Source organism: Homo sapiens, chromosome 6 (assembly GCF_000001405.40).
Source record: "Homo sapiens chromosome 6, GRCh38.p14 Primary Assembly".
NCBI lineage: Eukaryota > Metazoa > Chordata > Mammalia > Primates > Hominidae > Homo > Homo sapiens.
The window spans coordinates 70,707,229-70,722,214 of record NC_000006.12 but is presented as its reverse complement, the minus strand read 5'-3'; the positions used below and the strand labels follow the sequence as shown (position 1 = coordinate 70,722,214).

The 14,986-nt window shown below is 38.3% G+C and overlaps 1 protein-coding gene across 9 annotated transcripts in view, besides 1 other annotated feature; it reads right to left on the bottom strand.

Annotated features, from left to right (window-relative positions):
- SMAP1 (small ArfGAP 1) overlaps window positions 1-14,986 on the bottom strand; it is a 194,133-nt gene that overhangs the window by 139,801 nt on the left and 39,346 nt on the right. The gene's annotated exons all lie outside the window — the stretch shown is intronic.
- Window positions 8,968-9,017: an enhancer, noted in NCBI's record as "active region_24734". NCBI's record gives its function as "activates an Ori minimal core promoter by ATAC-STARR-seq in GM12878 lymphoblastoid cells {active_cell/tissue: GM12878}" and the evidence as "EXISTENCE:reporter gene assay evidence [ECO:0000049][PMID:35858748]".

Sequence of the window (14,986 nt, the reverse complement as noted above, 5' to 3'; positions counted from 1 at the left end):
ATTAATTATCTCAGAAGGCAACCTCTTTACAAATACTCTAATTTCAATCTAACAGTATGCTTTATTTATGTGGCACTGCCCTTCATTAGTACTTGTAGAGCTTGACAAATTTGTTGTCCCTGACATTATTGTGACAATTGATGAAATGTAAGTTCTATAGATATCAATGATAATTTCCTGATTTTAATAAACGTACTGTGATCATGTAAAGTCTTTGTTATTAGGAGATGATATGCTTTGGCTGAGTCCTCATCCAAATCTCAACTTGAATTGTGTCTCCCAGAATTCCCATGTGTTGTGGGAGGGATCCGGGGCAAGGTAATTGAATCATGGGGGCCGGTCTTTCCCATGCTATTTTCGTTATAGTTAATAAGTCTCACGAAATCTGACGGGTTTATCAGGGGTTCCCACTTTTGCTTCTTCCTCATTTTCTTTTGCTGCTGCCATGTAAGAAGTGCCTTTCACTTCCGACCATGATTCCGTGATTCTGAGGCCTCCCCAGCCATGTGGAACTGTAAGTCCAATTAAACCACTTTTTCTTCCCAGGCTCAGTTATGTCTTTATCAGCAGCATGAAAACAGATTAATACAGTAAATTGGTACCAGGAGAGTGGGGCGTTACTGAAAAGATACCCAAAAATGTGGAAGCAACTTTGGAAATGGGGAACAGACAGAGGATGGGACAGTTTGGAAGGCTCAGAAGACAAGAAAATGTGGGAAAGTTTGGAACCTCCTAGAGACTTGTTGAATGGCTTTGCCCAAAATGCTGATAGCGATATAGACAATAAGGTCCAGGCTGTAGTGGTCTCAGATGGAGATGAGGAACTTGTTGGGAACTGGAGTAAGGTGACTCTTGTTATGTTTTAGCATAGAGATTGGCAGCATTTTGCCCCTGCCCTAGAGGTTTGTGGAACTTTGAACTTGAGAAAGACAATTTAGGGTATCTGGCGGAAAAAATTTCTAAGCAGCAAAGCATTCAAGAGGTGATTTGGGTTGTGTTAAAGGCATTCAGTTTTATAAGGGAAGCAGAGCATAAAAGTTTGGAAAAAACTTTGCAGCCTGACTATGCGATAGAAAAGAAAAACCCATTTTCTAGGGAGAAATTCAAGCCGGCTGCAGAAATTTGCATAAGTAGCAAGGAGCCTAATTTGCATAAGTAGCAAGAAGCCTACAAATCATTTTCATAGAACAAGTCCTTTTCTCTCTAACCCCAAACTTTTCTTGCTAATTTCACCTACTACTGTTAAGAGTTCATAAGATATCAAGATATTAATCCCCGTGACCATGGGGAAAATGTCTCCAGGCCATGTCAGAGACCTTCACAGCAGCCCCTCCCATCACAGGTGCGGAGGCCCAGGAGGAAAAAGTGGTTTCATGGGCCGGGCCCAGGGTCCCCATGCTGTGTGCAGCCTAGGGACTTGGTGCCCTGTGTCCCAGCCTCTCCGCTCCAGCCATGGCTGAAAGGAGCCAATGGCTTCAGAGGGTGGAAGCCCCAAACCTTGGCAGCTTCCATGTGGTGTTAAGCCTGCAGGGAAACAGATGTCAAGAACTGAGGTTTGGAAACCTCCTCCTAGATTTTAGAAGATGTATGGAAACGCCTGGATGCCCAGGCACAAGTTTGCTGCAGGGGCAGGGTCCTCATGGAGAACCTCTGCTAGGGCATTGTGGTAGGGAAATGTGGGGTCAGAGCCCCCACACAGAGTCCCTACTGGGGCACCACCTAGTGGAGCTGTGAGAAGAGGGCCACCATCCTCCAGATCCCAGAATGGTAGATCCACTAACAGCCTGCACTATGTGCCCAGAAAAGCCACAGATGCTAAACACCAGCCCATGAAAGCAGCCGGGAAGGAGGCTGTACCCTGCAAAACCACAGGGGCAGAGCCGCCCAAGACCATGGGAACCCACCTCTTGAATCAGCATAACCTCGATGCAAGACCTGCACTCATGGAGATCATTTTGGAGGCTTAAAATTTGACTGCTCTGCTGGATTTTGGACTTGCATGGGCCCTGTAACCCCTTTGTTTTGGCCAATTTCTCCCATCTGGAATGGCTATATTTACCCAATACCTGTACCCCCATTGTATCTGGGAAGTAACTACCTTGCTTTTGATTTTATTTTACATGCTCATAGGCAAAAGGGACTTGCCTTGTCTCAGATGAGAATTTGGACTGTGGACTTTTTGGTTAATGCTGAAATGAGTTACAACTCTGGGGGACTGTTGGGAAGGCATGATTAGTCTTGAAATGTGAGGACATACAATTTGGGAGTGACCAGGGGCAGAATGATATGGTTTGGCTGCATCCCCATCTAAATCTCAACTTGAATTGTATCTGCCAGAATTCCCACATGTTGTAGGAGGGACCCAGAGCAAGATAATTGAACCATGGGGGCTAGTCTTTCCCACGCTATTCTCATTATAGTTAATAAGTCTCATGAGATCTGATGGGTTTATGAGGGGTTTCCACTTTTGCTTCTTCCTCATTTTCTCTTGCTGCCACCATGTAAGAAGTGCCTTTTGCCTCCCACCATGATTCTAAGGCCTCCCCGACCATATGAACTGTAAGTCCAGTTAAACCTCTTTTTCTTCCCAGTCTCGGGTACGTCTTTAACAGCAGCGTGAAAACCGACTGATACAGGAGACAAACGCTGAAATATTCAGGGATATAGGAGCATTTTGGCTATAAGTTCAGGGGGGAAATGGGTGTGTTTGTACACATATATAAAGGACAAAGAGAATAAGTGTGGTAAAATGTTACCATTTGAATCTGGATGGGAGATTCAAGGGTGGATGAGAGAACTGTATTAATAATTTCCTTCATTTCATTCTTGCTTCCATTTGTAAAAATGAATAAAAAATGAAAATACTTGTGTATAACCATTCAATGACAATAATAATAAAAAGAATTTTTTAAAAAAGTATCCCTGTATCCACACTATGAAGATCAGTTTCTTCATTTGAAAATACAAATACCACCATCTACTACATTCAGGTAACTGCTATGAATACCAAACGACAAAGTACATATAATGAAAGCACTCTATAACTACAAATCATTTTTCATAGAACAAGTACTTTTCTCTGTATCCCATACTTTTCCTTGCTAATTTCACCTGCTACTGTTAAAGAGTCCATAAGATATCAAACCTTTAACTCCAAAAATCTACATTTCTTTAGTCATGCAATTCCACTGATTATATATGTTATAAAATAGTTTTTAAATGTTTTTATAATAATCTTTTTAAGGTGAAATCACACATTAAAAATACACATTAATTATTAGATACTTGTCAAGATGAGAAAAACAAGAAAGGACTTTTTAAAATAAGAAAATGTGGCATATCTCTAGTCTTCATCCCTTCTCCAAGCAACACTTTTTTTTTTTTTTTTTTTTTTTGAGATGGAGTCTTACACTGTCACCCAGGCTGGAGTGAAGTGGTACAATCTCAGCTCACTGCAACCTCTACTTCCCGGTTCAAGGGATTTTCCTGCCTCAGCCTCCCAAGTAGCTGGGATTACAGGTGCCCGCCACCACGCCCAGCTAATTGTTTGTATTTTTAGCAGAGACGGGATTGGATCATGTTGGCCAGGCTGGTCTCCAACTCCTGACCTTGTGATTCACCCGCCTTGGCCTCCCATAGTGCTGGGATTATAGGTATGAGCCACCATGCTCAGCCCCAAGCATCGCATTCTTATAACCAACTTGGATAATGCCAATTAAATATGTCCAAGATGGAATTCATTTTTCCTTTCAGCCCTTCCCTCTCTCTTCCTCCCTCCAACATTGCTTTTTCACATTCCCCCAACTTAGTTGGTGATGTAAGGGGAGAAATAAAAATGTCATTCTTGCTCCTCTCTTTCTTTCATTATCCTTAACCATTTAATCAAGCAAACATCTTGATTATTTTATCTTCTCTTTTCAAATTCATGACTTTACCCTCATCCCAGCTGGACCTCTGCCCCAGTTCAGGATCTCATTAGCTACAATGTCCTCCTGGTTCCAAACACTGCTTCTCAGATTCATTAACCCATTAGATAAAATTTAATTTAATATGCATACGTACACATGTGTGCATGCCTGGTTGCCAGTAAACAATAAAATTTTTTAAGTCGGAAGGGGAAAAAAAAACACCAAAAAAATTGGAAGGGGAGCTTGTGGAGCTTGTGGGGAGGATGGAATATTAATAAAATAGTCATTTTATTTTAGTCATTGCTTCTATAACAATCTGCTCTGTGAAAACCGGCAAGTGATAATTCATCTAACTTTTTCCTTTCCCAATGAACAACACTAAAATAGATATATAAGATAAACTTCCTGAAATTCAATATATTATTTTCTCATCATCAAGTATTTAATCTTCTAAGAGAATATACCCAGGAAAAAGGAGAACCAATTCTTAAAGATGCCATGCTAGTAAAATGTAATGTTTTTAAAAACACTCCTGGTTCTATTTGAATGGCATAACCAGAAACAAAACCACCTAAAAATGTGATCTGAAAATGTGTTAGCAGTGACATCAGCAAGATGATGGAAAAGGAAGCCCGTAGCTTTACTTCCTCCCACAGAAGTACTGAATAAACATGTATACACAGATCAATTTCCTCTGAGAGAAAGCCAGAAACTGGCCGACAGTCTCCTATACATGGGGCAACTGAGAAAACATCCACATCCAAACAGGTAGAAAAAGTTTAGACACACTTGCACACAAACCCCTCCCTGTGCACTGTGCCAAACAATCAAGAAGGAATCCCCAATACCCAGCTTCTAACTAAGGAGTGAAGGGTTGGACCGTGCGTGTAAGTGACCCAACTTTTGCAGTTCTCTTAGAGGATTTGGCTCCTAAATCACCTAGCCCTAAGAGCAAGAGTGTCTTGGTATTCGTGAGTTTTCCTGAACTGTGGACAACAAAGAGACAGTGCAGCCTAAATAAGTGTGCAGGCATCTGCCACAGATCCTCTCTCCAGCTTAGTGTGGAATGAATGAGAGATAAGCTCTGGCTCTCAGCTTCTCCCTAAAGATAGAATGAACTGCAACACACTTCTAACACACCAATCTTCCCACCTGCATCTCAAGAAACTAGCTTCTAATTCATCTGGCAGAACTTGGCACACCCTAATTACTGGAGACCACTAAGAAAGAACAAAGAGTGTAGTTTGGACAAACAAAAAGATTTTAGAGGTACCTAGAAACTCTGGCTGGCCTAACTGGTAAGAATCATCTCCTACACAACACCAGTCTCACAAGACTAGTAGAGGCAGTAGTCTTATCTAATGCACAGAAGCCAAACCAAGAGTGAGGGCAATAAAGAAACAGAGAAATATGTTCCAGATAAAAGAACCAGGTAAATTTTCAGAAACTGACCCTAAGGAAATGATGATATGCAATTTACCCAACAAGGAATTTTAAAAAATGGTCATAAAGATGATCACTGAGCTCAACAGAGCAATGCATAAACAAACTGAGAACTCAACAAAGTGACAGAACATATTTTGAAAGCACCAAACAGAAATTATACAAATGAAAAATATAATAACTGAACCAAAAAGTCAAAAGATGGGTCCAGTAACAGACTAGATCAAGCAGAAGAAAAGATCAGTGAACTCCAAGACAGGTCACTGGAAATCATCCAATCTGAAAAGCAAAAATAACAAAGAATGAAAAAGAGTAAAGACAGCTTAAGGCAGGAGCCTCCAACCCCCAAGCCACAGACCAATACAGATACTGGTCTGTGGCCTATTAGGAACAAGACCACACAGCAGGAGGTGAGTGGTGGGCAAGTGAGCAAAGCTGAGCTCCACCACCCCTCAGATAGGCAGTGGCATCAGATTCTCATAAAAGCACAAACTCTGTTGTGAACTGCACATGCAAGGGATCCAGGGCACATGCTCCTTATGAGAATCTAATGCCTGTCACTGTCTCCCATCACCCCCAGATGGGACCATATAGCTGCAGGAAAACAAGCTCAGGGCTCCCACTGATTTTACATTATGGTGAGTATATAATAATAATAGAAATAAAGTGCACAATACATGCATGTTTACAGCAGCACAATTCCCAATTGCAAAAATGTGGATCAAATGCCCATCAACAAGTAGATAACTGTGGTATGTATCTGTATGATGGAATACAACTAAGCCATAGAAAGGAATGAATTAATGGCATTCTCAGCAACCTGGATGGGATTGGAGACCATTTTTCTAAGTGAAGTAATTCAGGAATGGAAAACCAAACATCATTATGTTCTCACTCATAAGTGGGAGCTAAGCTATAAAGATTCAAAGGCTTAAGAATGATACAATGGACTTTGGGGACTGGGGGAAAAGGGTGGAAAGCGGGTGAGGGATAAAATACTACAAATTGGGTTTAGTGCTCGAGTGATGACAGCACACCAAAATCTTACAAATCACCACTAAAGAACTTACTCATGTAACCAAATACCACTTGTTCCCCCAAAACCTATGGAAATAAAAAATAAAATAAAATAGAAATAAAGTGCACAATAAATGTAATGCACTTGAATCATCCCAAAACCCTCCACCTCTCCCACCTACCCTACTCCACCATCCCAAGTCCATGGAAAAACTGTCTTCCACAAGACCAGTCGCTGGTGCCAAAAAAGTTGGGGACTGCTGACTTAAGGGACTTAAGTGAAGCCATCACAATATAGGCATTATCAGAGTTGCAGAAGAGAGAAAGAAAGGGACTAAAAACACATTCAAAGACATAATGGCTGAAAACTTCCCATGCCTGGGAAAGAAAATACAAATCCAGATTCAGGTAGCCCAAATGATACCAAATAGGATTAATCCAAAGAAACCCACACAGGCTAGGTGCAGTGGCTCATGCCCATAATCCCAACACTTTGGGAGGCCAAGACAGGTGGACTGAGCCCAGGAGTTTGAGACCAGCCTGGGCAACATGGAAAAACTCTGTCTCCACACAAAATACAAAATTAGCCAGGCATGCTGGCAAGTGCTTGTGGTCCCAGAAACTAGGGGTACTGAGGCAGGAGGTCCTGAGCCTAGGGAGGTCAAGGCTACAGTGAGCCATGATCACACCACTGCACTCCAGCCTGGGCAACACTATAAGACCATGTCTCCAAAAAAAAAAAAGGAAAAAAAAAAAAAAAGAAACCCACACAGAGACAATACATTATCATCAAATTGTCAAAAATTAAAGACAGAGAGGATTTTGAAAGCAGCAAGAAAGAAGCAACTTGCTAAGTACAGGGGACTCTCTATTTCTTATTAGATTTTTCAGCAGAAACCTTGCAGGCTGAAGGGAATAGAATTATATATGCAAAGTGCAGAAAGAAAAAAAAATTGTCAGCCAAGAATACTATACCCAGCAATCCTGTCCTTTAAAGCTGAAGGGGAGATAAAGGTGTTCTCAAACCAATAAAAGCCAAGGTACTTTATCCACTATTCCTGCCTTGCAAGCATGCTAAAGGTAGTTATTCAAGTTGAAATGAAAAGATGCAAAACAACAACATAATGTTTTTTTTGTTTTTTATACCAAAAAAAGTACAAAACTTGTTAGTAAAGTTAAATATACGGGCAAAATAAAAAGAATATTTTATTACTATAACAGTGGTGTGAAGTTAATTATAATCCCAGTACAAAACCTAAAAGATAAAAGTACTAAAAACAACTCTAACGAAATTATCTTAAATACATAATACAATAGATCTAAATTGTAACTCAATAACATATAATTTGAGGGTAAGAAAGGTAAAAATGAGTGCTCCTGCATGGAAAAGAAGTTAAGCTGTTATCAGCTTAACACAGATAATTACAAGATATTTTATATAAGCCTTCTGGTAACTACAAAAAAAACACCTATAGAAGTTACACAAAGAATCACAGCATTACAAAAAGCAACAAGACGACAATAGGAGAGAAAAAGGAGGACAAAACAACTACAAAACAAACAGAAAACAGTTAACAAAACAGCAACGGTAAATCTTTCCTTGTCAATAATTACTTTAAATGTAAATGGACTAAACTCTCCAATAAAAAGATAAAGCAGCTAAATGAATTTAAAAAAAAAAGATCCAACTATACATTGTCTACAAGAAACTAACTTTAGATTCAAGGACACACATACGTGGAAAGTGAAGGAATAGAAAAGAATAGTCCATGCAAATGGTACCCAAAAGAGTGGCCATATTTGCATCGAAGTACACTGTAAGTCAAAAACTGTCTCTAGAGACAAAAAAAGGTCATTACACAATGACAAAAGGATCAATTCAACAAGAAGATATAACAATTGTAAACAAATACACACCCAACATCAGAGCACCCAAGTATATAAAGCAAATACTGACAGAACTGAAAGAAGAAACTGATAGCAATACAGTAATAGTAGGTGACTTCAGTACCCCATTTTCAACAATAGATAGGACATCCAGACAAAAAAATTAATAAAGAAACGGGGCTTGAACAACACTACACACCAAATAAACTTGACAAGCCTATACAGAACGTTCTACTCAACAGAAGAATATACATTCTTTTCAAGTGTACATAAAATATTTTCCAGGACAGATCACATTAGGTCACAAAACAAGTCTAAACAAATTTAAGAAGTTCAAAATAATATCATCAAATACCTTGTCCAACAACAATGGAATTGAACTAGATAACAAGAAGAACATGGAAAATTCACAAATACTAAATAACGCACTATTGAACAACCACTAGGTCAAACAGTAAGTCAAAAGAGAATTTTTTAAATATCTCAGGATAAACAAAAACAAAAAGAGAACAAACCAAAACTTACGTGATACAGCAAAAGCAGTAATAAGAGGAAATTTTGTAGTGATAAATGTCTGCATTAAAAAAAATCTCAAAATAAACAACCTAACTATACACCTCAAGGAGCTAGAATAAGAACAGACTTAACCCAAAGTTAGCAGAAGAAAGAAAGTAAAAAAACACAGATAAATCAAATAAAGCATAGAAAAACCACAGGAAAAAAAATCAACAAAACTAAGAGTTGGTTGTTGAGAAAATAAAACTGACAAACTCCCAGGTAGTCTAAGAGAAAGAGAGAGAAGACTAAAAATCAGAAATGAAAGAGGAAGCATTACAAAGGATGTCTCTGAAATATAAAAAAATCACAGGATGGGTGCAGTGGCTCACACCTGTAATTCCAGCACTTTGGGAGGCCGAGGTGGGTGGATCATTTGAGGTCAGGAGTTCAAGACCAGCCTGACCAACATGGTGAAACCCCATCTCTACTAAAAATACAAAAAATGAGCCAGGTGTGGTGGCACATGCCTGTAATCTCAGCTACTCAGGAGGCTGAGGAAAGAATCACTTGAACCCGGAAGGCAGAGGTTGCAGTGAACCATGATTGTGCCACTGCACTCCAGCCTAGGTGACAGAGTGAGATTCTGTCTCAAAAAAAAAAAAAAGAAAAGAAAAAAAGAAAAAAGAAAAGAAAAGAAAAGCAATAAAAAAAAATAAGGAACTACTTATAAACAACTAGGTGCCAATAAATTGAATAACCTAAAGGAAACAGATAAATTCCTAGGAACATAAAACCTATCAAGACTGAATCAAGAAGAAACAGAATTTCCTCAACAGTCAAATTACAAATAGAGATGAAAGAAGTAATCAATAACCTCTCAACAAAGAAAAATCCAGGACCAGATGGCTTCACAGCTAAATTCTACCAAACACTCAAAGAAGAATTAACACCAATCCTTCTTGAAGTTTTCCAAAAAATAAGTAGAGGGAGTATTTCCAAACTCATAGTATGAAGCCAGTATCACCCTCAGGGTAGTACCAAAGCTGGACAAAGATGCCACAAGGAAAGAAAGCTGTAAGCCAATATCTCTGATGAGCACACATTCAAAAATCTTCAGTAAAATACCAGCAAACCAAATTCAACAACACATTAAAAAGATAATACACTTTGACCAAGTGGGATTTTCCTCTGGGATATAAGGTTGGCTTAACATACACAAATCAATCAAGGTGATTACCCCTCATTAACAGAATGAATGATACAAGCCACATGATCATCTCAATAAATGAACAAAAAAGCATTTGACAAAAGTTCCACATCTTTTCATAATAAAAACTTTCGACAGAATAAGTATAGAAGGAAACTTCCTCAACATAATAAAGGCCATTTATGAAAAACTCAAAGCAAACATAATAATCTGTGGGGGAGAAACTGAAAGCTTTTCTTCCAAGATCTGGTACAAGGAAAGGATATCTATTCTCACCACTTCTATTGAACACAGAATTGGAAATATTAGCAAGAGCAATCCTACAAAAGACATAAACAGCATCCAAATCAGAAAGGAAAAGGTAAAATTATCCTCATTTGCAGATGACGTAATCCTTTATGTAGAAAATACTAATGACTCCATTAAAAATATATACATATTAGGCCAGGTGCGGGTCCCAGCATTTTGAGAGGACGAGGCAGGTGGATCACCTGAGGTCAGGAGTTCGAGACCAGCCTGGCCAACATAGTGAAACCCCATCTCTACTAAAAACACAAAAATTAGCCGGGCATGGTGGCAGGCGCCTGTAATCCCAGATACTCAGGAGGCTAAGGCAGAAGAATCGCTTGAACCTGGGAGGCGGAGGTCACAGTGAGCAGAGATCGCGCCAATGCACTCCAGCCTGGGTGACAAGAGTGAAACTCTGTCTCAAAAAAGAAAAAAAAAAAAAAGAGCTAATAAATTAATTCAGTAAAGTAAAACACAAAATCAACATACAAAAATCAGCTGCATTTATTTATACCAATAGTGATCGATCTGAAAGAGAAAACACAACAAAAGGAATAAAATACAGTCAGGCTCTGCATAATGACCTTTCAATCAATGACAGACCACATTTACAGTAACAGTTCCATGAGATTATTATGGAAATAAAAAATTCCTATTGCCTAGAGACATTGTAATTATTGTGACATCGTAGCACAACAAATTACTAACATGTCTGTGATAATGCTGGTGTAAATAAACCTATTGCACTGCCAGCTGAATAAAAGTATAGCACACACAATTATGTACTTGATAATAAATGACTATGGTACTGGTTTATGTATTTACTATACTTTTTACTGTTATTTTAGAATGTACTCCTTCTACTTATTAAAAAAAGTTAACTGTAAAATAGCCTCAGGTAGGCCCTTCAGGAGGTATTCCAGAAGACAGCATTATTATTATAGGAAATGACAGCTCCATGTGTGTTATTGCCCTTGAAGACCTTCCATGGGATAGGATGTGAAGGTGAAAGAGGGATACTGAAAATCCTGAACCTGTGGAGTCCTAGGCTAATATGGGTGTTCGTGTCTTAGTTTTGAACAAAAAAAGCTTAAAAAGTAAAAAAGCAATAATAATAATAGACAAAAGCTTATAGAATAAGGATATAAAGAAAATGCCTTGTATAGCTGTACAACGTGTGTCTTAAACTGTTATTACAAAAGAGTCAAGAAGTTTAAAAAATTTTTGAAGTTTTTAGATAATAAAAAGTTACAGTAAGCTAAGGTTAATTTATCAAGAAATTTTTAATATCAATTTATTCTAGCCTAAGTGTACAGTGTTTACAAAGCCTACAGTAATGTCTTACACCTTCACATTCATTCACTATTCACTCACTGACTTACCCAGAGCAACTGCCAATTCTGCAAGCTCCAATCATGGTAAGTGCCCTATATGTGTATGCCGTTTACCCTTTTTTTTTTTTTTTTTTTTTTTGAGATGGGAGTCTCGCTCTGTCACCAGGCTGGAGTGTGCAGTGACGCAATCTCGGCTCACTGCAACCTACGCAATCTCGGGTTCAAGCGATTCTCCTGCCTCAGCCTCCCGAGCAGCTGGGACTACGGGTGCATGCCACCATGTCCAGCTAATTTTTGTATTTTTAGTAGAGATGGGGTTTCACCATGTTGGCCAGGATGGTCTCTATCTCTTGACCTCATGATCCGCCCACCTCAGCCTTCCAAAGTGCTGGGATTACAGGCGTGAGCTACCACACCCAGCCTGTTTTTTATCTTTTATAGCAATTTGTACTGTACCTTTTCCAGGTTTAATTGTTTTGATATATAAACACTATGTGCTACAATTGCCTACAGTATTCAGTACAGTAACAGGCTGTACAGGTTTGTCGCCTAGGAGCAATAGGCTATACCATGACAGCCTAGACACAGAGACAGCTAGTTTGTGTAAGTACACTCTATGAGTCTCCCACAATGACGAAATCACCTAATGACTCATATCTCAGAATTTATCCCCATCATTAAGTAATGAAAGACTGAAGTTAGGAATAAATTTAACCAGGGAATGAAAGATCTACACACCGAAAACTATAAAACACTGATTAAAAAAAAAATTGAAGACACAAATGGAAAGATACCTTGTGTTCATGAATTGGAAGAATTATATTATTAAAATGTCCATGCTACCTAAAACAATATACAAACAAATGCAATTCCAATGACATTTTTCACAGAAAAAGAAAAAAACTGTAAAATTTGTATGAAACCACAAAAGGCCCCAAGTAGCCAAAACAATCTTAAGAAAGAAAAATAAGGTTGCAGGCATCACACTTCTTGATTTCAAATCATATTATAGGATGGGTGCAGTGGCTCACACCTATAATCCCAACACTTTGGGAAACTGAGCTAGGAGGATTACTTGTGCCCAGGAGCTTGAAACCAGCCTGGGCAACACAGACCTGTCTCTACAAAAAATTTAAAAATTAACCAGGCACAGTGGCACACACCTGCAGTCGCAGGCTCAGGTGGGAGGATCACTTGAGCAAGGAAGTCAAGGCTACAATGAGCCATGATCGTGCTACTGTATTCTAGCATGGGCAACAGAGCGAGAGCCTGTCTCAAAAGAAAAAAAAAGTATTATAAAGCTATAGTAATCAAAACAATATGGGCATATTGTTTATGGTATGGGCATGAAAATAGACACAGACTAATGAAACAGCATAGAAAGCCAGAAATAAATCCAAGCATATATGGTCAAGTAATTCCTGACAAGCCCGCCAAGAAGACACAATGGCGGAAGTACAGTCTCTTCAACAAATGGGGTTGGGAAAACTAAATATCTAATGCAAAAGAATGAAACTGGACCCTTATACCACACACACACACACACAAAAACCTCCTTAGAAGAAAATATAGGGAAAAGCTCCTTCATACTGGTCTGGACTGATTTTCTAGATATCACAGCGAAAGCTCAAGCCACAAAAGCAAAAATAAACAAGTGGGACTACATCAAACTAAAAAGCTTCTGCAATGCAAAGGAAACAATCAACAAAATGAAAAGGCAGCCTACAGATTGGGGCAAAATATTTGCAAACCATCTCTCTGTTAAGAAATTAATATCTAAATTTTTTTTAAAACTTACTAGCAAAAAACAAAACCAAAAAAACACTTACTTAAAAACGGGCAAAGGACCTGAATAGACATTTTTCCAAAGAAGGCATAAAAATAGCCAATACATATATCAGAAAGTACTCAACATCATTAGTCATCAGATAAATGCAAATCGAAACCACTGTGTAATATCACTTCACACCTGTTAAGAAGGCTATTATCAAGAAGACAAGAGATAACAAGTGTTAGAAAGGTGTAGAGAAAAAGAAACCCTTATATACTATTGGTATGAATGTAAATTGGTACAGCTATTATGGAAAGGAGTATGCAGATTCTTCAAAAATTTAAAAATAAAATTACCATAGGCCAAGCAATTCCTCTGATTTCCCTAAAGGAAATGAAATCAGCACTTCATAGAGACATCTGGACTCCCATGTTCATTGCAGCATTTTTTCCCAATAGTTAAGATGGAAATGACCTAAGTGTTTGTCCATCAACGGATGAATGAACAAAGAAATTATGGTGTATACATACAATGGAATATAATTCGGCCTTGGGGGAAAAAGGGAGAACCCACCACTTGAGACAACAGGGATGAATCTGGGGGACATTATGGTTAGTAAAATAAGCCAGATATAGAAAGAAAAATATTGTATAATCTCACGTATATGTGAAATCTAGGGAGAAAAGTAAACAGAAACAGAGAGTAGAATGATGGTTACCAGGCGCAGGAAAGGAGAGGAAACAGGAAGAGGGAGGTCAAAGGGTACAAATTTACAGCTATGTAAGATTGCTAAGTCTAGAGATATAATGTTCAGCATAAGGACTATAGTTATACACTGCAGTGTTACTACACTGCAATATACTGAAAACTTGCTGAAAGAGTAGGTTTTAGGTACTCCTACCATGCCAAAAATGTTGACTATGGAAAGTGGTGGATATGTTGATTTGTTTGACTGTAGAAATCATTTCACTATATATGTGTATCAAAATGTCATGCTGTACAGCTTAAATACATGCAATAAAAAATAAATTTTAAAGCCTGGCCAACATGTAGACATAGTGAAACCCCATCTCTACTAAAAATATGAAAATTAGCTAGTGTGGTGGCATGCGCCTGTAGTCCCAGCTACTCAGGAGGCTGAGGCAGGAGAATCACTTGAACACAGGAGGTGGAGGTTGCAGTGAGCTAAGATCCCACTACTGCACTCCAGCTTGGGTGACAGAGTGAGACTCTGTCTCAAAAATAAATATAAATAAATAAATAAATGTTTAAAATGTGTTACATTAACAATATTAGGTTTCAGATGTCTATTTTCAAGCTTTTTTAAATGCCAAAATAGTTTGCTTTTGAAAATATGTGTTTAGTTTTCTTTTCGCAAAGGCAACAGTAAAAGACCTTTACTGTTATGTTAATTAACAGATCATGCTCTCAATAGCTTTCAGGCTGACTTTCAACATACATCAATTTTGCCTACCATTCCTTTTAGCTAAAAAAAAAGTTAATGAGGATAATATAAAAGTTTTATTTAGGATTACCAATTTAAGATTAACATCCTTTATTACTGAAATAATAAATCACATTCATGAAAAGAGAAAGAATGGACACAAGTGAATATATTCAGAGATGATGTTTA